This window comes from Homo sapiens, chromosome 13 (assembly GCF_000001405.40).
Source record: "Homo sapiens chromosome 13, GRCh38.p14 Primary Assembly".
Lineage (NCBI taxonomy): Eukaryota > Metazoa > Chordata > Mammalia > Primates > Hominidae > Homo > Homo sapiens.
The window spans coordinates 108,163,299-108,185,090 of record NC_000013.11 but is presented as its reverse complement, the minus strand read 5'-3'; the positions used below and the strand labels follow the sequence as shown (position 1 = coordinate 108,185,090).

The 21,792-nt window shown below is 40.0% G+C and overlaps 1 annotated feature.

Moving 5' to 3' along the window:
- Positions 6,399-6,521: a silencer, noted in NCBI's record as "fragment chr13:108830918-108831040 (GRCh37/hg19 assembly coordinates)". NCBI's record gives its function as "represses an EF-1alpha promoter that drives an FKBP-Casp9 reporter gene in an ReSE screen in phorbol 12-myristate 13-acetate-treated (for megakaryocytic differentiation) K562 erythroleukemia cells {active_cell/tissue: K562(+PMA)}" and the evidence as "EXISTENCE:reporter gene assay evidence [ECO:0000049][PMID:32094911]".

Below are 21,792 nucleotides of genomic sequence, written 5' to 3'. Positions count from 1 at the left end.
GTAACAGCTGCCAGATTATGATTCACTGAACAGGACAATAAATTTCAGCCTTATTGGATTTTGTTAATTATGTAAATGAGGTCACTGTAGAGGCAGTTGCTAATTATCAGTTACTATTGAAAACCTGATGGGAGAGGTGGAGATGATATGCATAATTTTAATTATATTCATTTATTTGAACAGAGTAAGAGCGAATTACAGTTTTCATGATCTAGTTCTTGGTTAGCACCACTCTTTAAAATGAAATCCCACAGATATGGAAAGAAGTATATGCAAGGATGTTTATCACAGTATTATTCGCAATAGGAAAAAATCTAGGGTGATCTAAACAGATGAATGAAAATAGAACATTTCATATGATACATAACTGTGGAACTATTGAGGAAGATTTAGTCACATACGTGCAATACAGTTGATATAATATGTAAGTTAAAAAGTATATTTTAAATGCATAGAAAAATAGAACTGTAATCATATGTCAAAATGTGAGCACTATATATAAGTGATGTAATTATGGGTGCTTTGTTTTGTGTTTTTCTGAGTTTTTCTAATACTTTTGAGAGGCAAAAGTTCTAAATAAATGGAACTGGTATGAACTTCAAAGATGATGCTGGGTACTGAAACTAAAGACCAAAATCAGAAATCTTATTTTGCTCTCCAAGTAGAATTCTTAAGATACGTCCTTTTTTCCTCTTAGCTCATTTTAATTGTTCAGTAAGTTAATTTACTAAAAAGTTAAGTTTAATTTTAACGATTTAATTTTTTAACAATTCCTTTATGTATTTCATGTTTTTATTAACGGGAAAGTGGGAGTTATGTTTTCTCTAGTTGTATGTGGTCAGGCATAATCTAGTAATTTATTGATAGTATAGCTGACACCAAATAGAAATTGGAATATCACAGAGCTTCACTTATTCTTCTCTGCTGTAAAGTCTAAGGTAAAAATGATGACGTGGCCCAGTCTACAAAGAAGAATTCTAAGGGAATGAGCCCTAATACACGCATTTTTTCCCACCTTCTTTAAACAAAGAACTGATCTTGTAGCACCACATATCAGAATGAAGTAAGATTAAAAAGTGAAAATTCACCAGGTGTTCCTTGTGAAAATGGTAGAAACTATGAGTTATGAAGCTAGCAACATACATCATATGCATTGTAACCAAATCATGTGATACCTGTTTTCTGTCTTCTCTATGGAACCCTTAGGATGAGCCTGATAACTTGGTGCAGTTTAGCATTCCTAACCCCCATGTAGATCATAAATCTTGCTTGAAGACCATGCCTATTAAGAGCAACAAACAAAAATCAGAAGAGAGAGAGAGAGAGAACAATTTTAAAAAATGGCTTAGGGCTGAGAAACCAGAGAACCTCATTTCCTGGTAATGAAAGACACCTCATGTAATGATCCCCATTATCTATTCATCATTGCTTCCTCTTCAACACTCAAATTATGCTTCCATTTCTCAACATGATATCCTTGTTCTAATCATCAGGCTCTCTCTCCATTGGTCCAGCTCCCTCACCAGTCTACAATAAATCATTCCTGGAAAAATACAGGAAATATACATGTATTACCATTTTTATCATTGCCTATGTTCACAGAGATTCCGGAGCACCCCTGACCCACCCCTCTGCCTGCAAATCTCCATAATATTTTGCATGGCTCAGTCCTAGTCTCACCTACTCCATTCGCCCCTCTAAACCTCCCCCTCTTGGAACTGCCGTTGTGATTCTAGCATAACACATGTAATTTGGTACTTAATCACTCTCTGATTTATCTAGATAGTCTCAATAGTTCTTTGGGGGAAATTCAGTCTTTTATATACATTTTTAGGTTTCTCCCTTAATTGTAACTTACAGTATAATAGTATACATTAAATACCTGTTAACAAATTGCCTAGATATTATTGTTCTGTTAAACTTTTATGCTTGTATTTTTGTTTTAGTAGTGTTTCCATAAAAACAAGTTGGTAAGTAAATATTCTATAAGAGTGCTGATTTTTCATAAATATTTAGATAAAAAGAAGCTCCATGGTAGGTCAATAATGTCTAATTTCAAAGGAAAAAAATCCTGGGCCAGCAAGGATAAGTGGAGGAGGAAATAAAGTTAACTTTAGAAATATCCAAAAACGAACTGCGGAAACTAAATGATTTAACATGTTTGGGTGGGGCCTGGTATTGGCAATAGCTGGATGCACCTGCTACCAATTTTAAGTTGTTGCAGTGTTGTTTATGTGCTTGGACTCTGGAGCCAGAGTGCCTGAGTAATATTGCTGGCTGAGTGACATTGGGAAATTAGTTTACTAAGAAAAAGCTGTGTGATTCTGGGCTGTTAACTTAGTAACTCCAAGGTTAAGTGTACGAGTAGGTGAAATTGTGACAACACAGGATCTCCCTCAAGGGACTGTTGTCAAGATTAAATGTGTGAATACCTGTCAAGAACTTAAAATAACCGCTTGATACCACAGACAGTTAAACTTTTGTGAGGCCTGAAACTTATACAACTTCCCAGCCTTTCTATAACAAAATTTTCAAAAATTAAGAATGTAAAATTAGATGTGAGATCAGGTGATATCACTGAGAAAGGCTGAGTAAAGACCTCAAACATCCTCCCCTCCAAAAGCTATGTAAACACTGGTAACTTGTCAACATCAACCTTTTCAGCATGCTGTTAATTAACTAAAGGCTTCAGCAATCCAGGGAAGTTATTTAAGAACAGCTTGTAGAATTGCTCCCAAAACTTTTTGAGGTAGTTTTATCTTTATTTTACAAAAAGAAGAAACCGAGGTTTGGGGTGGTTAAAATCTTGCCTTACTGTATTGAAAGTGGGAAACAGGCCAGGCTCTGTGGCTCATGCCTGTAATCCCAGCACTTTGGGAGGCCAAGACGGGCGGATCACTTGAGGTCAGGAGTTTGAGAGCAGTCTGGCCAATGTAGTGAAACCCCGTCTCTACTAAAAATACAAAAATTAGCTGGGCGTGGTGGCGCACACCTATAGTCCCAGCTACTCGGGAGGCTGAGGTGGGAGAATTGCTTCAACCAGGGAGGTGGAGGTTGCAGTGAGCTGACATTGTGCCATTGCACTCCAGCCTGGGCAACAGAGGGAAACTCCATCTCAAAAATAAAAAAAAAAAAAAAATTAAAAAAAAGAAAGAAAGAAAAGGAAGTGGGAAACAACTAATGTTATGGTGGAGAAATTTGGCAGACTCTGTCTTAGGTGATGGTCAAGGTCAACATGGAAAGTGATGAACCGTATTGATAGCATGGACCCTTGATATGATATGTGAGAATAACACTCTACTGCTGTGATTTTCTCCCCCAAAATTCATAATCCAAGCATAATCTTGAAAAATCCATGAGACAAATCTAAATAGAGAGACATTCTACAAAATACCTGACCAATACTTCTCAAAACTGTCAAGGCCATCATAAAACAAAAAAGGTCTGAGAAACTGTCACAGCCAAGAGGAGTGTAAGGAGACATGAAGAATAATTGTAATGTGACATTCTGGATGGGATCCAGAACAGAAAATTTACCTTGATGAAAAACTAAGAACATTCAAATGAAGTATGAATTTTAGTTAATAGCAATGCATCCACCTTGGCTTGTTAATTGTGACAATACTATTTTAATAGTACCATATTAACATCAAACGTTAATAGTAGGGGATACTGGGAATGGGGCTATGGGAACTCTACTATCTTTGCACCTTTTCTGTAAGCATAAAACTATTCTAGGCCGGGTGCAGTGGCTCACACCTGTAATCCCAGCACTTTGGGAGGCCGAGGTGGGCAGATCACGAGGCCAGGAGAGTAGACCAGCTTGGTGAACATGGTGAAACCCCGTCTCTACTAAAATACAAAAACTTAGCCTGGCGTGGTGGCACGCACCTGTAGTCCCAGCTACTCGAGAGGCTGAGGCAGGAGAATCGCTTGAACCTGGGAGGCAGAGGTTGCAGTGAGCCGAGATCGCGCCACGGCACTCCAGCCTGGTGACAGAGCAAGACTCCGTCTCAAAAAAAAAAAAAAAAAAAAAAACTATTCTAAAATTTTAAAAGGTTTATTTTTAAAAATCTGCCCCCAGAGAACCTGGGGGCATAGTTAGTATGCGGGGGAATTGATATTCAGACTCAAAGTGTTTGCATTATACAAAGCTACTGCATTAGTGCCCGAACAAAATGCCAGACTGAGTGGCTTCACCACAGAAACTTTTCTCACGGTTCTGACGCTGGAGAGCAGCTGGAGACCCAGGTATCGGCTGGTTGGGTTTCTCCTGAAACCTCTCCTTGGCTTGCCGATGGCTGCCTTCTAGCCATGTCCTCACATGATCTTTCCTCTACACACGCATCCTGGTGTCTGTGTCCACATTTCCCTTCTTGTAAGGATACCAGTGCTAGTGGATTGGGCCCGACCTAGCTAACTCATATTAACTTCATCACTATCTCTTTAAAGACCCAATCTTCAAATGCATTCTGAGGTGCGGGGGCTGGGGGATGGGGCGGTCAAGTTCAACGTATGAATTTTGGAGACACACAACTCAGTCCATAAAAGGTACTTTCCAAATTTGGGAATAAAACTATGTTTATTTAAGAATGATTCCATGTTCCATTTTCAAAGGGATGGACGATACTTTGGCAGCTCTAATTGTGTGGGAATCCTAACTGAAGTTTCAGGCCCTGCTTTTCATTTCCTCTAAGGCGCCCGGGGCCTCTGCCTGGCATTGGCCGCTCAGCCCTCATCTTCAGACCCCTGTGTTTTCTCCTTTCCTTCTGCACACAGGCTTTTCTCTCTCAACTTGTTTTATTCTCATTGCAATTCTCAGCCCTTACCTGCAAGTGTCTAACAATGTTCTTTCCTTACCCCAGCCCTCTTCTTTTTGAGACTGTTACCATTTAGTTACTACTAGATTTTTGTTTTTTCTATCCCTTTTAAAAGTTAGTATGTACTAGCAGTTTTAAAAATACTCCTAGAAATGTTGATGACATTTTTATGATAATCTAAACTTTCCTTTTCCTTGCTAATCCTAGGTCTTGGGTGAATCCAAAGATTCAGGTGGGTGCTGTTTTCTGAGGTTCTAACTTCTTGGAAATTATAGCTGCAAGAGAATGTTATTAGGAAATACAAAAATGTCAAAGGATTTAAAATAATAATAATTTGAACTGGGAATGTTTTAGTTAAGCTTTAAAATTATGTTATATAAATAAACTACAGGGGTTTGCATAAGCTATAAGTTTTCTCTAAACATCTAAAGGATTTTGAAAGAGCAAGGATGTCTATAATTAAAGTGGTAAATCTTTAAATAAGTAGTAATTAAATTATGCAGAAGCTCTTGAAGAACTTGCTGGAAATAAAGATGAGGCAGGAAGTTAGGGTATAAATTGCTAATTACGTATGTGTATATATATGTATATACACGCACACATATTTGTATGTGTATATATACATATACACTCTTTGGTATGGTTTTGAGACATTAACTATATTAATATTAAAAATTAACTATAAATTTATTACTCAAGAGATAATAGAATAGATTAAACATGTTGGAATCATGGATTTTTTTTTTTTTTTTTGAGACGGAGTCTGGCTCTGTTGCCCAGGCCGGAGTGCAGTGGTACGATCTGGGCTCACTGTAACCTCCACCTCCCTGGTTCAAGCGATTCTCCTGCATCAGCTGGGACTACAGGCATGTGCCACCACTCCCGGCGAATTTTTTGTATTTTTAGTAGAGACGGAGTTTTACCATGTTAGCCAGGATGGTCTCGATCTCCTGACCTCGTGATCCACCCGCCTTGGCCTCCCAGAGTGCTGGGATTACAGGCATGAGCCACTTCGCCCAGGTGGAATCATGGAGTTTTAGGGAGGCTTAGCAATCATGTAAATTCTTACTTTTAATTTAATAAATAAAAAAATCTAGAGACCTAGGAAACCTGAGACCCTGAGAGGTTATGTGCATTTCTCAATAGTAACAAGCATATTTACAAACCCAAATGTGTTTCATAGTATTAGTACAATAGCTAAGTGAAAGGAAGAGACATTGAAATAAATTCAACTTGAAGATTTTTAAAGGAAAACAATCAATATGAATATTCCAGTCCTTGCTACTCCTCTTCTCAAGAGGTGTACAGATGTGCACAGGTTCTGGGAAGCTGATTTGCTGTCTTACAACCACTGTGGGTGATTCAGGACGACTGCACACCCTTGGCATTCTCGTCGAGAAAAGTCCAAGACCATCTCTCCTTCCCTGGACCTTGGCTGGACTATGAAGGCTTTGACTAAGAGAATATATTGTAAAGGACATGATTCCAGTTCTATGCTCACCTGTGTGAAGGCTAGCAGCTTGGTCTTAGTGTGTCCGGAATTTATTCCTTCTGGTGGGTTCTTGGTCTCACTGACTTCAAAAATGAAGCCACCAGCGCTCGTGGTGAGTGTTACAGCTCTTAAAGATGGTGTGTCCAGAGTTTGTTCCTTCAGATGTGTCCAGAGTTTCTTCATTCTGGTGGGTTCGTGGTCTTGCTGGCTTCAGGAGTGAAGCCACAGACCTTCGCAGTGAGTGTTACAGCTCTTAAAGGTGGTGCTTCCGGAGTTGTTTGCTCCTCCTGGTGGGTTTGTGGTCCCGCTGACTTCAGGAATGAAGCCTCAGACCCTCGCGGTGAGTGTTACAGATCACAAAGTTAGTGCGGACCCAAAGAAGAGCAGCAGCAAGATTTATTGTGAAGAGCAAAAGAACAAAGCTTCCACAGAGTGCAAGAACAAACCAACCACAGCGTGGAAGGGGACCCCAGCAGGTTACGGCTGCTTTCTCGGGTGGCCAGCTTTTATTCCCTTAGTTTGGCCCTGCCCACATTCTGGTGATTGGTCCATTTTACAGAGTGCTGATTGGTGCGTTTACAATCCTTTAGCTAAGCACAGAGTGCTGATTGGTGTGTTTTTACAGAGTGCTGATTGGTGCGTTTACAGTGCTTTAGGTAGACACAAAAGTTCTCCAAGTCCCCACCCAATCCAGAAACCCAGCTGGCTTCACCTCTCATTAGGATCTGAACCATTGTGTAAGATATCCAACTGCCCTGATGAAGAGGCCATCTAGTGAGTCCTCATAACTGTGGGATAAAGAGAGGCCCAGATGAGTGCAGCCTTCCAGTCACTACTCTTCAGACATATACATTGAGCCCTCTGGGACCTGTAGACCAGATGAGCTGCCAGCTGCATACCACTGGGTGACCTCAGCCAATGCCTGCCTGAATTTCTGGCCCACGGAACCATGAGATAGAATAAAAGCATTGTTGCTTGAAGCCACTAAGTTTTGGGAGCATTTGTTATGCAACAATAGAAAATCAGAATATTATACTTTGGATCAATTTAGGAAGAGAACTAACATTGATTTCAGGAAATGACTGCTTTTACAAAAATTAACCTACTAACTCAACTAAGTATATTAGGTCAAAGTATAATTTAGAATTACTTAAGATTCAACCAGGGGCCATCAGACACCTAGTAATTTATAGGCACAGATTATTCTTGTCCTTAACATTCTGGAAATAATTGTACTCTAGGTCCTTACTGCTGAAATTGTGGTGTGTGGTCCAGTGCCCTAATCCTCACCTGGGAGCTAGTTAGTAATGCAGGATCTCTGGCTCTGCCCCAGGCCCAGTGCATCAGAAGCTCCTTTTAACAAGACCTCTGGTGATTCCTACGCACTGAGAACCTTGAGAAGTCCTAGTCTAGGTAGTTTTATTAGAAGCACTGGGAGGCTGATAAACAAATGTGGGAGGAACAGTCTTCACATTCATTTTCCTCTTCCTTGTTTGGTAATAAAAGTTTCTACTTTTAGATAAATTTGTTTTCCTTTAATATTAAGTCGTTACAGGCAGAGTTTCTTCAAGCCCCAAACATTCAAGAATAATAAAGCATACTTTCAAACTGGGGCATGCATTACAAAGGTATTTACATTGGACTTAATTAGATCAGTAAAATATATAAACCCATTTCTTCAGTTCTTTGAAAATACAATTTTTTACAATTTAGGCTAGTGAGGAAATAGATACAAAAGAAATATTATTACTTATGGAATAATTAACCCAGTTTTAGGTTTCTGGTGCTGGAAAAAGGCATCTAGAGAAGAATAACTAAATTTATTAACACAAGACGGGAGGGCGGTTGGGGGGTGAGGGAAGAACAGAGGCCTTTTCTTTGACAGTTTCTCACTGTCGCCACCTCGTGGCTGAGGATGAATTTCCTTCTGGTATTGCTGTTTCAATATTCGTTTTCTTTTTCTTTTTTCTTTTTTTTTTTTTTTTTTTGGTTTGTTTTTGTTTGTTTTTATGTTTTTGAGATTGAGTCTCGTTCTGTAGCCCAGGCTGGAGTACAATGGCGTGATCTCAGCTCACTGCAACCTCCATCTCCTGGGTTCAAGTGATTCTGCTGCCTCAGCCTCCTGAGTAGCTGGGATTACAGGCGTGCACCACCACGCCCAGCTAATTTTTGTATTTTCAGTAGAGACGGGGTTTCGCCATGTTGACCCGGCTGGTCTTGAACTCCTGACCTCAGGCAATCCGCCTGCCTCGGCCTCCCAAAGTGCTGGGATTACAGGTGTGAGCCACTGCGACGGGCCTCAATATTGGTGTTACGAGTTTGTCTCTCAATAACTCAGCAAAGCTAAATCTCATGGACGGGACCAAGGATCAAAGCAATTCAGAGTCTCCCTGATGGGTTCCTGGGGGAGGAGAACTCACCCTGAATAAAAAAGTAGAGAGCGTGGCATGGACCCTGGGGTACAGGTTGGTCTTCAGCTACGGTGGGGAGATTATCTGGTGACCTCCTGGGAGGTGATCCAGCCCCAGGCCACTCAGTCTTTATAAGAAGGGACTATAGGGAAGAGAAGAATTCAGGCCACCTGATTGATTGGCATCAATGATGTATTTGTAACTGTTGGAAACAAGGTCCTCCCTACTCCAATGAGAACGGGTGTTCTCCACATCTCAGGGACTGTGAGAACGGGCACACCTTACTTCCCTCACACTGCATTTCCACAGCCTGGTGACTGGCACAGAGATTAGTAAATGTTTGGTCATTCACTGACTGACAGGAAGAGTGGAATTCACCAACTAATGAGAAAATCGAAAGCTGGAGTGAGATCACAGACTAGCAATAGGATCAAACTGGTGAGCAACAGCATCACCACTGGCAACACCGGGTGAGGAAGGCTCCCCAAGGCTAAGTGGAGTTGGGCTACCCCCAAGGAAAGGGATGCCCTAGCCATCTCGGCTTGTTTTCCGAGGGCTGGGAGGGTTGTGGGGCAGAAAAGAGGAGTATTTGCCCTGCTGTCTTTGGTTGTTCTCCCATATAGCCTGGGAAAGCCCAAGTTACAATTCAACTTATATTTTTGCCATATCAGTGGATATATTATTGTTTCTAGCAACATCTGTATTCACTATTCACCAAAATGTACCTTATATTTTATCCCTTTCTCTAAGCTGCACTGAAGTGCCCCTTTTCCTATGAAAACCCAATAATTTATAAGAAAAAGGTTTTACTTTTGTTATATTTCCATGTGCTAAGAACTCAAATATTGAGTTCTCATTTGTAAATGAAAAGTAACAAGGAGGAAAAATAATTATAATCTGTGAAAGTATGGCTTATATAAATTGCATAAATTGAGGTATAAAGCTATCAAGTAGCAAGGTTTGTAGGAAACACAAAGGCGGTGGTTTCAGTGTGAATCACAGAAGGGATTTTTAAAAACATCAAAGAGATTTTTCTTCACAAGAGTTCATTAAAAGTGAGCGATATATATATTTTTCAAAAATATTTATTTATTTATTTCACCTTTAAAAACCTTTATTTTAGGTTCAGGGGTACATATGCAAATTTCTTACATAGGTGAACTTGTGTCACGGAGGTTTGTTGCACAGATTATTTCATCATCCATTTATTAAGTCAGGTACCCAATAGTTGTCTTTTGCGCTCCTCTCCATTCTCCCACACTCCACCCTCAAGCAGACCCCAGTGTCAGTTGCTCCCTTCTTTGTGTTCATGAGTTCTCATCCTTTAGCTGCCACTTATAACTGGGAACATGCAATATTTGGTTTTCTGTTCCTGCCTTAGTTTGCTAAGGATAATAGCCTCCACCTCCATCCATGTTCCCCCACATGACATGATCTCATTCTTTTTTATGGCTGTGTAGTATGCCATGATGTATATGTACCTCATTTTCTTTATCCAATCTGTCATTGATGGGCATTTAGGTAGATTCCATGACTTTGCCATTGTGAATAGTGCTGAAATGGACATTCACATGCATGTGTCTTTATGGTAGAATAATTTATATTCTTCTGAGTGTATACCCAGTAATAGGATTGCTGGAACAAATGGTAGTTCTGCTTTTAGCTCTTTGTGGAATCATCATCCTCCTTTCCACAATTTCCACAAGTTGAATTAATTTACACTCCCATCAGCAGTGTATAAGAGTTCCCTTTTCTCCACAACCTCACCAGCATCTGTTGTTTCCTGACTTTTAAGTAATAGCCATTCTGACTGGAGTGAGATGGTATTTCATTGTGGTTTTGATTTGCATTTCTCTAATGATCAGTGATATTGAGCTTTTTTTTTCATATGCTTGTTGGTCGCATGTATGTTTTCTTTTGAAAAGTGTCTGTTCATGTCCTTTGCCCACTTTTTAATGGGGTTATTTGTTTTTCTCTTGTAAATTTGTTTAAGTTCCTTATAGATGCTGGATATTAGAACTTTGTCAGATGCATAGTTTGCAAATATTTTCTCCCATTCTGTAGGTTGTCTGTTTACTCTGTTGATAGTTTCTTTTGCTGTGCAGAAGCTCTTAAGTTTAATTATACCCTACTTGTTAAGTTTTTATTGTGTTGTGATTGTTTTTGGTGTCTTTGTCATGAAATCTTTGCCTGTTCCTATGTCCAGGATGGTATTGACTAGGTTGTCTTTCAGGGTTTTTATAGTTTTGGGCTTTACAGTTAAGTGTTTATTTCATCTTGAGTTGATTTTTGTAGATGATGTAAGGAAGGGGTCCAGATTCAATCTTCTGCTTATGGATAGCCAGTTATCCCAGCACCATTTATTGAATAGGGAGTCTTTTCCCCATTACTTGTTTTTGTCAGCCTTGTCAAAGATCAGATGGTTGTAGGTGTGTGGCCTTATTTCTGTGCTCTCTATTCTGTTTCACTGGTCTATGTGTCTGTTTTTGTACCAGAACCATGCTGTTTTGTTTACTGTAGCCCTGTAGTATAGTTTGAAGTCAGGTAATGTGATTCCTCCAGTTTTATTCTTTTTACTTAGGATTATCTTGGCTATTCAGGCTCTTTTTTGGGTCCATATAAATTTTAAAATTGTTTTCTCTAGTTCTGTGAAGAATGTTGTTGGTAGTTTGATAGGAAGAGAATTGAATCTGTAAATTGCTTTGGGCAATATGGCCATTTTAATGATATTGATTCTTCCTACCCATGAGCATGGGATATTTTTCCATTTGTTTGTGTTTTCTCTGATTTCTTTTTCTTTTTTTTTTTTTTTAAAGATGGAGTCTCACTCTGTCTCCCAGGCTGGAGTGCAGCAGCAAAATCTCAGTTCACTGCAATCTCCACTTCCTGGGTTCAAGCAATTCTCCTGCCTCAGCCTCCTAAGCAGCTGGGATTACAGGCATGTGCCACCACACCCAGCTAATTTTTTTTTTGTATTCTTAATAGAGGTGGGGTTTCACCATGTTGATCACGCTGGTCTCGAACTCCTGACCTCATGATCTGCCCACCTTGGCCTCCCAAAGTGCTGGGATCACAGGCGTGAGCCACCGTGTCCAACCCTTCTCTGATTTCTTTGAGCAGTGTTTTGTAGTTCTCATTGTAGAGATCTTTCATCTCCCTATAATTCCTAGGTAATTTATTCTTTTTGTGGCTATCATAAATGGGATTACCTTTCTGATTTGGCTCTTGGTTTGGCTGTTGTTGGTGTATAGAAATGCTAGTGATTTTTGTACATTGATTTTGTATCCTGAAACTCTGCTGAAGTTGTTTATCAGCTGAAGGAGGTTTTAGGACGAGACTATGGGGTTTTCTAGATACAGAATCATGTCATCTGCAAACAGGGATAATTTGACTTCCTCTCTTCCCTTCAGATGCCCTTTATTTCTTTCTCTTGCCTGATTGCTCTGGCTAAGACTTCTAATACTATGTTGAATAGGAGTGGTGAGAGAGAGGGCATCCTTGTCTTGTGCCGGTTTTCAAGGGGAATGCTTCCAGAATTTTCACATTTGGTATGATGTTGGCTGTGGGTTTGTCATAAATGGCTCTTATTATTTTGAGGTATGTTTCTTCAATACCTAGCTTGTTGAGAGTATTTTACATGAAGGGATGTTGAATTGTATCAAAGGCCTTTTCTACCTTTATTGAAATAATCATGTAGTTTTTGTCTTTAGTTTTGTTCATGTGATGAATCACATTTATTGATTTGCATATGTTGAACCAACTTTGCATCCCGGGGATGAAGCCTACTTGATCATGGCGGATTCGCTTTTTGATGTGCTGCTGGATTTGGTTTGCAAGTATTATTTTGAGGATTTTTGCATTGATGTTCCTCAAGAATATTGGCCTGAAGTTTTCTTTTTTTGTTGTGTTTCTGCCAGGTTTTGGTAACGGGATGATGCTGGCCTCATAGAATGCATTGGGGAGGAATCCCTTCTCCTCGTTTTTTTGGAATAGTTTCAGTAGGAATGGTACCAGCTCTTCCTTGTACATCTGGTGGAATTTAGCTGTAAATTCATCAGATCCTGGGTTTTTTTTCAGTTGGTAGGCTATGTATTACTGATTCGAGTTTGAAGCTCATTATTGGTCTGTTCAGGGAATCAATTTCTTTTTTGTTCACTCTTGGGAGGGTGTATGTTTCCAGGAGTTTACCCATTTCTTCTACGTTTTCTAGTTTGTGTGCATAGAAGTGTTTGTAGTAGTCTCTGATGGTTATTTTTAATTCTGTGAGTTCAGTGGTAACATCTCCTTCATCATTTCTGATTGTGTTTATTTGGATCTTCTCTCTTTTCTACTTTATGAGTATAACTAGCAGTCTAGTCTATCTATCTTATTAATTAAAAAAAACTCCTGGATTCATTGATCTTTCTAATGGTTTTTGTATGTCTTGATTTCCTTCAATTCAGCTCTGATTTTGGTTATTTCTTGTCTTCTGCTAGCTTTGGGGTTTATTTGCTTGTACTTCTCTAATTCCTTAAGTTGTAGTGTTAGCTTGTTAATTTGAGATCTTTTTACCTTTTTGATGTGGGCATTTAGTGCTATGAATTTCCCTCTTAACATTGTCTTAGCTGTATCCCAGAGATTCTGTTATGTTGTATCTTTGTTCTCATTCATTTCAAAAAAACATCTTGATTTCTTCCTTAGTTTCATTATTTACCCAAAAATCATGCAGGAGTATGTTGTTTAATTTCCATGTAATTGAATAGTTTTGAGCAATTTTCTTAGTCTTGACTTTCATTTTTATTGCACTGTGGTCTGAGAGTGTGTTTGGTGTGATTTGGGTTTTTTGCATTTGTTGAGGATTGTTTTAGGTCCAATTATGTGGTTGATTTTGGAGTATATCCCATGTGGTGATGAAAATAATGTATATTCTGTTGTTTTTGCATGGAGAGTTTTGCAGAGGTCTATCAAATTCATTTAGTCCAATGTTGAGTTCAGATTCTAAATATGTTTGTTTATTTTCTACCTCGATGATCTGTCTAATACTGTCAGTGGAGTGTTGAAGTCTCTCACTATTATTGTGTGTGAGTCTATATCTTTTTGTAGGTCTCTTAGGTCTTGCTTTATTTCTGGGTGCTCCTGTGTTGGGTGCACATATATTTAGAATAGTTAGGTCTTCTTGTTGCATTGAACCCTTTACCATTATGTAATGCTCTTCATTGTCTTTTCTTATTTTTATTAATTTAAAGTCTGTTTTGTCTGAAATTAGGATTTCAACCCCTGCTTTTTTCTTTATTCCATTTTCTTGGAAGATTTTCCTCCATCCCTTTATTTTGGGCCTGTGGATATCATTACATGTGAGATGAGTCTCTTGAAGACAGCATACTATTGGGTCTTGTTTTTTATCTAGCTTGCCACTCTGTGCCTTTTAGGTGAGGGCATTTAGCTCATGTATATTCAAGGTTAGTATTAATATGTGTGCATTTGTTCCTGTCATTGAGCTGTGACCTGGTTATTATGTTTGCTTGTTTGTGTGGTTGCTTTCTAGTGACACTGGTCTGTGTGTTTAAGTGCATTTTTGTAGTATCTGGTAGTAGTTTTTCCTTTCTATGTTTAGTGCTCCTTTCAAGATCTCTTGTAGGGCAGGTCTTGTGGTACCAAACTTCCTCAACATTTGCTTATCTGAAAAAAATCTTATTATTTCTCCTTCACTTAGGAAGCTTGGTTTGGCTGAATATAAAATTCTTGGTTGAAGATTTTTTGTTTTAAAATGTTGAACATGGGCCCCCAATTTCTTTTGGCTTATAGGGTTTCATTTGAGAGGTCCAGTGTTAGCCTCTCAAATGAAAGGTGTTCTCTTTGGAGGTTACCTTCCCTCTCTCTCTAGCTGCCTTTAACATTCTTTCATTTCAATTTTGTAATATCTGACAATATGTGTCTTGGGGATGATCTTGCGTAGAATCTTTCAGGAGTTCACTTTATTTCTGAACTTGAATGTTGGCCTCCTAGCAAAATTTAGGGAGTTTTCATGAATGATATCCTGAAATGTGTTTTCCAAGTTGTTTGCTTTCTCCCCTTCCCTTTCAGGGATACCAGTGATTCATAAATTTGGCCTCTTTACATAATCCCATACTTCTCAGAGGTTCTGTTCATTCTTTTATATTATTTTTTCCTTATTTTTGTCTGACTGTCTTATTTCAGAGAGCCAATCTTCAAGTTCTGATATTTTTTTCTCTTCTTGGTTTATTCTGCTGTTAATACCTGTGATTGCATTGTGAAATTCTTGTATTGTGTTATTCAGCTCTATCAAATCTGTTAGGTTCTTTATTATACCAGCTATTTCATCCTTCAGCTCCTTTATCATTTTATTGTGATTATTACTTTCCTTGGATTGGGTTTTGCCATCCTCTAATCTCAATGGGCTTCATCCCTATCCATATTCTGAATTCTATTTCTGTAATTCCAGCCCACTCAGCCTGGTTAAAAACTCTTGTTGGAGAACTGGTTTGGTTCTTAGGAGGACATATAACACTCTAGTCATTTGAGCTACTGGAGTTCTTGTGTTGGTTCTTTCTCATCTCTGCATGTTGTCATTCCTTTACCTACAGTGTAGATTGAGTGCACCCAATAGACTTCTTTTCTAGATGTTTTCACATGTTACAGCCATGGTCCCTCTCAATGTTCTCAAAGTGTGGGTTCTTCTCCCCATTGAGTGCTGGCTGTAGATTACGGCTTGGCATTCCTTGGCTGCCCGCACTGCTGCTCTGGGGTGATCTCAGTGTTCATGTTCCTTCCCCAACTTGGAGGCAGCAGAGGAAGGGACCTTAGTAGTGGTTGTGTCCAAAGGTCTTCTGCTTGTCTCCTGGGGGTCCACTCCAGAGAAATGGAGGTCAGAAATTGCTCAGTGCAATCATCCCAGGATGGAGGGTCTGTGCTGTGGGCCCAAGCTGGGGGTTCTCTGTCTAGTGATGAGCAGTGGGGGCACTGGCTGGAACCCAAGGAAGACAGACTGGCCTCCTCTCCTTGGATCAACTACAGCTTGTTGGAGGTGTGGCTAAGGCACGCAGGGTCTTTGCTCCTTTGTTAATCTGAGGGTAGCAAGGGCAGTTCCACAGCAGAGGCAGTGGCAGAGAGGCTTTGAGCCCTTGGGAACTCTGTCCAGGGAGTTGCAGAGCTCCTGCTGGCGCAGTAGTTCTGGCAGGGGTGGCTAGAGGCCTAGGTCTGGAGGACCTGCCCAGTGAGGACATATAAAAATGAGCACCCACGTAACAGTCTGGCCACTTTTCTGCAGTGCTGCTGTGGTATGCTGGGGCCCACTCCGGTTCCTAGTCACCTTGGATTTTCCAGTACCTGGAGGTATCAATAGTAAAGGCTATGAAACAGCAAGAAAGACAGCCTGCCTCTCTCTTTGGGAGCTCCTTCCCAGAGAGTTATGGGCTTATTGCCAGTCCAAATACACCTGTAGGAGATGGCTGGAGACCCTGGTTGGGAGGTCCCACCCAGTGAGGAGGAATGGGATCAGGAACACATTTAAGTAAGCAAACTGGCCATGTTTTGATAGAGCAGCTGTGCTGTGCTGGAAAACTGCTTTCACCCTCAGTCGGCTTGGACTGTCTAAAGCTCGAAGGCTGGATGGCTAAGGTCACCTAAACAGCAAAGATGGCAGCCCACCCCTCCCTCTAGGTGCTTCATCCCAGAGAGGTTGCAAATCTCTGTTGGCCAGAGAAAACCAACAGGGGTGACTGGAGATCCCGGTTGGGAGGTTCTGCCCAGCAAGGAGGAATGGGATCAGGGATCCATTTTAAAAAGCAGTCTGGCCATGTTTTCATAGAAAACTTGGTTGTCTTTCTGTTTTATCCAAATAGTTGAATATTTTTTCTGTTTTTTTTCTAGCTCTTCATTGGCCTTTAGTGAAAATAATCATATCTAACTGGGCTGTGCTAGGGGACCACTTCCACCCTTGGTTGGCTTGGACTCTCCAAAGCCTGAAGGCTGGATGGCTAAGTTGCCCAAACTACAAAGATGGTGGCCGCCACTCCCTCTGGGAGTTCTGTCTCAGGGTGGTGCAACACTGCTATCAGTGTCTGGCTGGAATTCCAAGCCAGTGGGCCTTATCCTGTGAGGTGCCATGGAAGCAGGGTCTGCAGACTGTTGCTGCTCAGTCTAGATTCAGCCTCTTTCTTAGGGGTATGTATGGGGGTCTAACCTCCCACTTTGCCTGAATTGCAAGTACTTTTGATGGGAAGCCCAGAAAGTCCGGGTCTCTAAGGCTCCTGGGTCTCCAAGTATGTGCCTGTGCGGCTGCTCTGCCGAGACTCCACTTAGCTCTGTGTGTCAGACTGAAGGCCCTGGTGGAGTGGGTTCACAGGGGAATCTCCTGACCTGAGGGTTGCAAAGATCCATGAAAGCAGTGTGGGTTCCTGGGATCACTCATTCACTCACTGCTTCCCCGGGTGAAGGAGGTTCCCCTGGCTCTGTGTCACTTCTGGGTGGGCCATTAATCTGCCTTGATTTTCACCATTTTCCGTGGGTCCAGTTATTTCCTTGATTAGTCTCAGTGAGTGTACCAGGGTATTTCAGTTGAAGGTGCTATACTTACCTGCCCCTTCTGTTCCTGTCTGTGAGAGATGTGTGCACTAGCTTCTTCTAGTTGGCCATCTGGGCCACCAACCCTAACAAATATTTATTAAGAACCAACTGTGTACCAGGCACGACATAGCTGCTGTGTAGTAAATAATGATTAAGACAGTAAAAATGTTTGCCTTCATTGTTCTTATGGACTTAGATGAAAACACTAGACATTTTCATATAAATTGCAATAAAGTGTGAAAATATTTGGATTCCAGAAACATAGAGCTTGAAAAACACTTCCTAGAGGAAGAATATTTAGATTGGGAATAGAGATTGGTGAGGAAGGGTGGAGAAAGAGGTTCCTAGACAAAAGGAAGAGCATCAACAGGCATTGTTGAAGATTTTTACTTTTATCCTAAAGGCAATAAGTCAAAGAGGGCTTTTTAAAGGGGAATGATGCATTCGGTTTGGCATGCTGGAAGATTCTATCTGGCTCCAGTGTGGCAAATACATTAGAGAAAAAGCAAGATGGAGACAGGGCTACTTGTTTGGTGGCTATTTGTTTTCTGTCCTTCAGGAATTAAAATGAGTACACCCTAGGAGAATAAAGCCTTGGTATATGGCATCACCTACCTACCTTTTAATTCGTATCTACTTGCTTTAGACATTTACACTTGGTTTTCTTTCTGTTTTATCCCGTTAGTTGAATATTTTTTCTGTTTTTTCTAGCTCTTCATTGGCCTTTAGTGATAATAATCACATCTAACATTTTTGGAGCTCCACTATGTGCAAGATACTGTGTGTTCTCCTGTGATGTTTACAAAAATCCTTTGAAGCAGATGCTGTCTCCATGTTTCAGGTGGGAAATCTGAGATCTGGAAAAGGCATGTAACTTGAACAAACTCACTCAGTCAATGCTGCTGCTGAAATATGCACCCAGCCTCATCATCCATGCTCTCATCCAATGATCTAAATGAGCCTCTTAGGACTACCTGGGAGCACGCGAATGGAGTGAGATGGTGCTGTGTTGGGTGGGGTAAAGTCAGTGCCGTGGGATGCAGGGTCAGAGTTTTCTCTTAATTTGACTGAACAGTGAGCATATGCTTCTCCCCTGGTCCACCCTGAGAATTCTTAAAGATTTGTTATATAGGAAAAAGAACCAGACTTAATGATGAAACATTTTGCTAAGGGAGCACTTACTGTTCTTCCTTCTACAAATATTTCTTTTTGGCAAAGGGTGATTTAGAGTGTGTGACTTCTTTGCTGGAGTCCTAACGCACTCAAAGACAGTCATTCCTGTTTGAAAACCATTATATTAACATCCACAGCCACCTAACTCACCCTATCTTTTAGGGAGCCTCCATCTTTGGCACTCTGGTTGTGATCCGTGGACCAGCTGCATGAGGTTACCTGGGAGCTTGTTAAAAATACAGAACCTCAGTTCCACTCCAGGCCTTCTGAATAGAATCAACTTTGCAGCAAGATCATTGATATCTGTATGCACAATAAAGTTTTAGAAGCACTGTTCTAAATCTCTCAAATTCCTTATCAGTAATTCACAAACATGTGGCCTGGTTACGTCAGAATTTCCTGATGTGTGAGTTAAATAAAATGCAAATTCTTAGGCCCTGCAAAAACAAAAACAAAACCAAAAACCCCTACTAAATGAGAAACTCTGGAGATAGGACTTAGAGTTACGTATTTTTAAATGTTCTCTGTACAATACTGTACAATTTTAACCCCTGATATAAGGAAAGAGAAAACTCCAGTTTTATATTATTATGTACCAGTAAAATGTTCTTTCTCACAGAATATTTAAAGTGAAAATGTCACATAGTTAGATCCTGTTTTATTGCTGAAAATATTTAAAGTGCCATTAAGATATGATGTTAAAGATATTTTGCAAGTAGTTTAAAACTTTTTAAAATGACTGAAGGAAAATACATTGTACAGGTTCTTTTGTGAAATAAATATTACAGTCTTGAGACTACTTGGACTTTAGAACTTGTAGTTATTCCAATAAAAATGAGACAAAGCTCTGATGCCCACTGAAATTCACAGTGTGCCTGACTTTTTAAGGTGCAGATTGTAAATTCACATTGTGGGGAATTCGTGTTTTAAAAAATTTCCATTTCTTTTAAATAATCACATTTGAGGTGAGGTTTTTCATGTCAACAAATGAAAATAAGAAAGACACAAAAGGAAATGAAATTTGTTCTCGTTTGTTATGAGCTTCAAAGCTGAGTATTTCAACATGAGATTATCATTGTGTTGCTTTTTGTATAATGTATGCCAAGATGTTTTGACTCCCTGAGCTGGGATGTTTGCACATGGCTCTGAGCAACAGCATTATCTGAAGGCCACCTTTGCTTCCCATTCGGGGCTCACAATAGCACTCTCCTCCCACTTTTATCACAGAAAATTACATGCTCATTAGAATTGGGCTATAACTGTGATGAAAGGGATGTTTTCTCTGGAACCTGAAATGTCTGTGTTAATATTCTAAGCTTTAGTATTACGTGATGAATAAGCTAGTTGTTCACGTAGGAAACGGAAGAAACTGTATCATATAGAATTACTAAATGTGAACTGCTGTAAGGTTTTATTAGCGTGTTCACACTTTTATTTCAAACTTAGAGTGTGACTATCGGTATGGAATTCTTCATACACAGTTTTGAGCTGCTAATATTTCATTATGATGATTTGATGCATGAACAGATGATGTGGCAGGAATGGCTGGCTGCACTGCCATCCATGACCCATCCATCCTTTAGTGTTGTGGCTGGGGGCAGCTGCCCCCATGGTCCACAATTCCCAGCCCCTCAGCCTGCAGGTTTGGCCATGTCACTAGCTCTCCAATAGAATGTTAACAGAAGGAGTGTGTAGCATTTCCAAACCAAGACTTTTAAGAAGCGGACTTCATTTTCGATTCCTTTTCCCTCCTGCTCCCTAGAGGAGACACAGATGCAAGGAAACTGGACCCTGAATTAACATCAGGGAAAGATGTCTGGTGCCTGGGAATATCAATTTTAGACCATTTTTTCAACTACTTTGTTGTGTGGCACCATTAACCTTTTGGGACTCTTCATTATCACAGCTGAGCCTCGCTTTATCAAAGTGGGGAGAATTAGTTGGAGTGGAATAAAAACACAACTTAGAGGGGACAGTGAGAGTGAAGCAACAGGGATGGCCTTCCCTAGTTCACATATATCCAAGGCTGGTCCTCACCTCCAGAAAGTGCTATAGGGTGGAGTTTGATGTCACGTGCATTTTGTGCATGTGTAAAAAGTGTAAGATGCATAAATTGATAGTTTTGTGATTGAGGGTATTGTTACTTAGCAATAAAAATAAAATAATAATTGCAACAAGTGGATAAAATTGGAATACTTAGCATTAAATACTTGAAAGTATTTTACAACTTGGAAATTAGAGAAGAGATGGTGCAGAAGAAGGTGGCAATTGATTGCGTATTGATTGACAATTCAACTTTAAATAGAACACTGAAGAAGGAATTTCTTTCCCACAAGGCCCACTGAAGGAAGACAGGTAAATAAATAGGAAGCACAGAAACAAAATTCTTTTTTTTTTTTTTTTTTGAGACGGAGTCTTGCTCTGTCGCCCAGGCTAGAGGGCAGTGGCGCAATCTCGGCTCACTGCAAGCTCTGCCTCTCAGGTTCACGCCATTCTCCTGCCTCAGTCTCCCAAGTAGCTTGGACTACAGGCACCCACCACCACTCCCAGGTAATTTTTTGTATTTTTAGTAGAGATGGGGTTTCACCTTGTTAGCCAGGATGGTCTCGATCTCCTGCCCTCGTGATCCGCCCGCCTCAGCCTCCCAAAGAGCTGGGATTACAAGTGTGAGTCACCGCACCTGCCCCGGAAAAAAATTCTTTACCTTTGGTGTGGTGGATTTTATTGGTGTGCTCATTCTATTATCTTTGTCGCTATCCTGTGTAAACATCCGTTTGTCCTTTTTCGTACTAGATTTTGAGGATCTAGCTAGATGTCATTGTGCATGGGTGGAAGTCAGCTGTCTAACCTGCATAATTTCCAAAACTTCGCTGACATTACATTAATAACTTAAGGATTTTTAGCTAATTTTACCTAAATATCTCTTCAATGAGATATTGAGTGATAAGCTAAAAAGAGACTGAACTTTCCCAAGAAAAATTCTGTGGTGCTCACCGCCAAATGATATGTATCCAATATTAGTAAGATGAAGGTAGCAATCAGTCAATATTTTATGAAAATATGAATTGTTAACTCAGTTTCTCCTACCCCTTTTTTTGCTTATCTAGATATACATGAGATTGCAAAACAGTAATTAATGCTTACCAAGAAGGAAGAAATGAGGGAAAAATACAGAGAAATATAAATTATTTACATATGCACAGATAAAAGCTTTATTGTATGTTATTGATTCTGAATTTAGAAGTTTCATCAAAATGTCAAGGCAAGACTGACACTATATGAGAAAACCTGACCTAGATATGATAAAATCAGGTAATAAAGGCCTGAAATT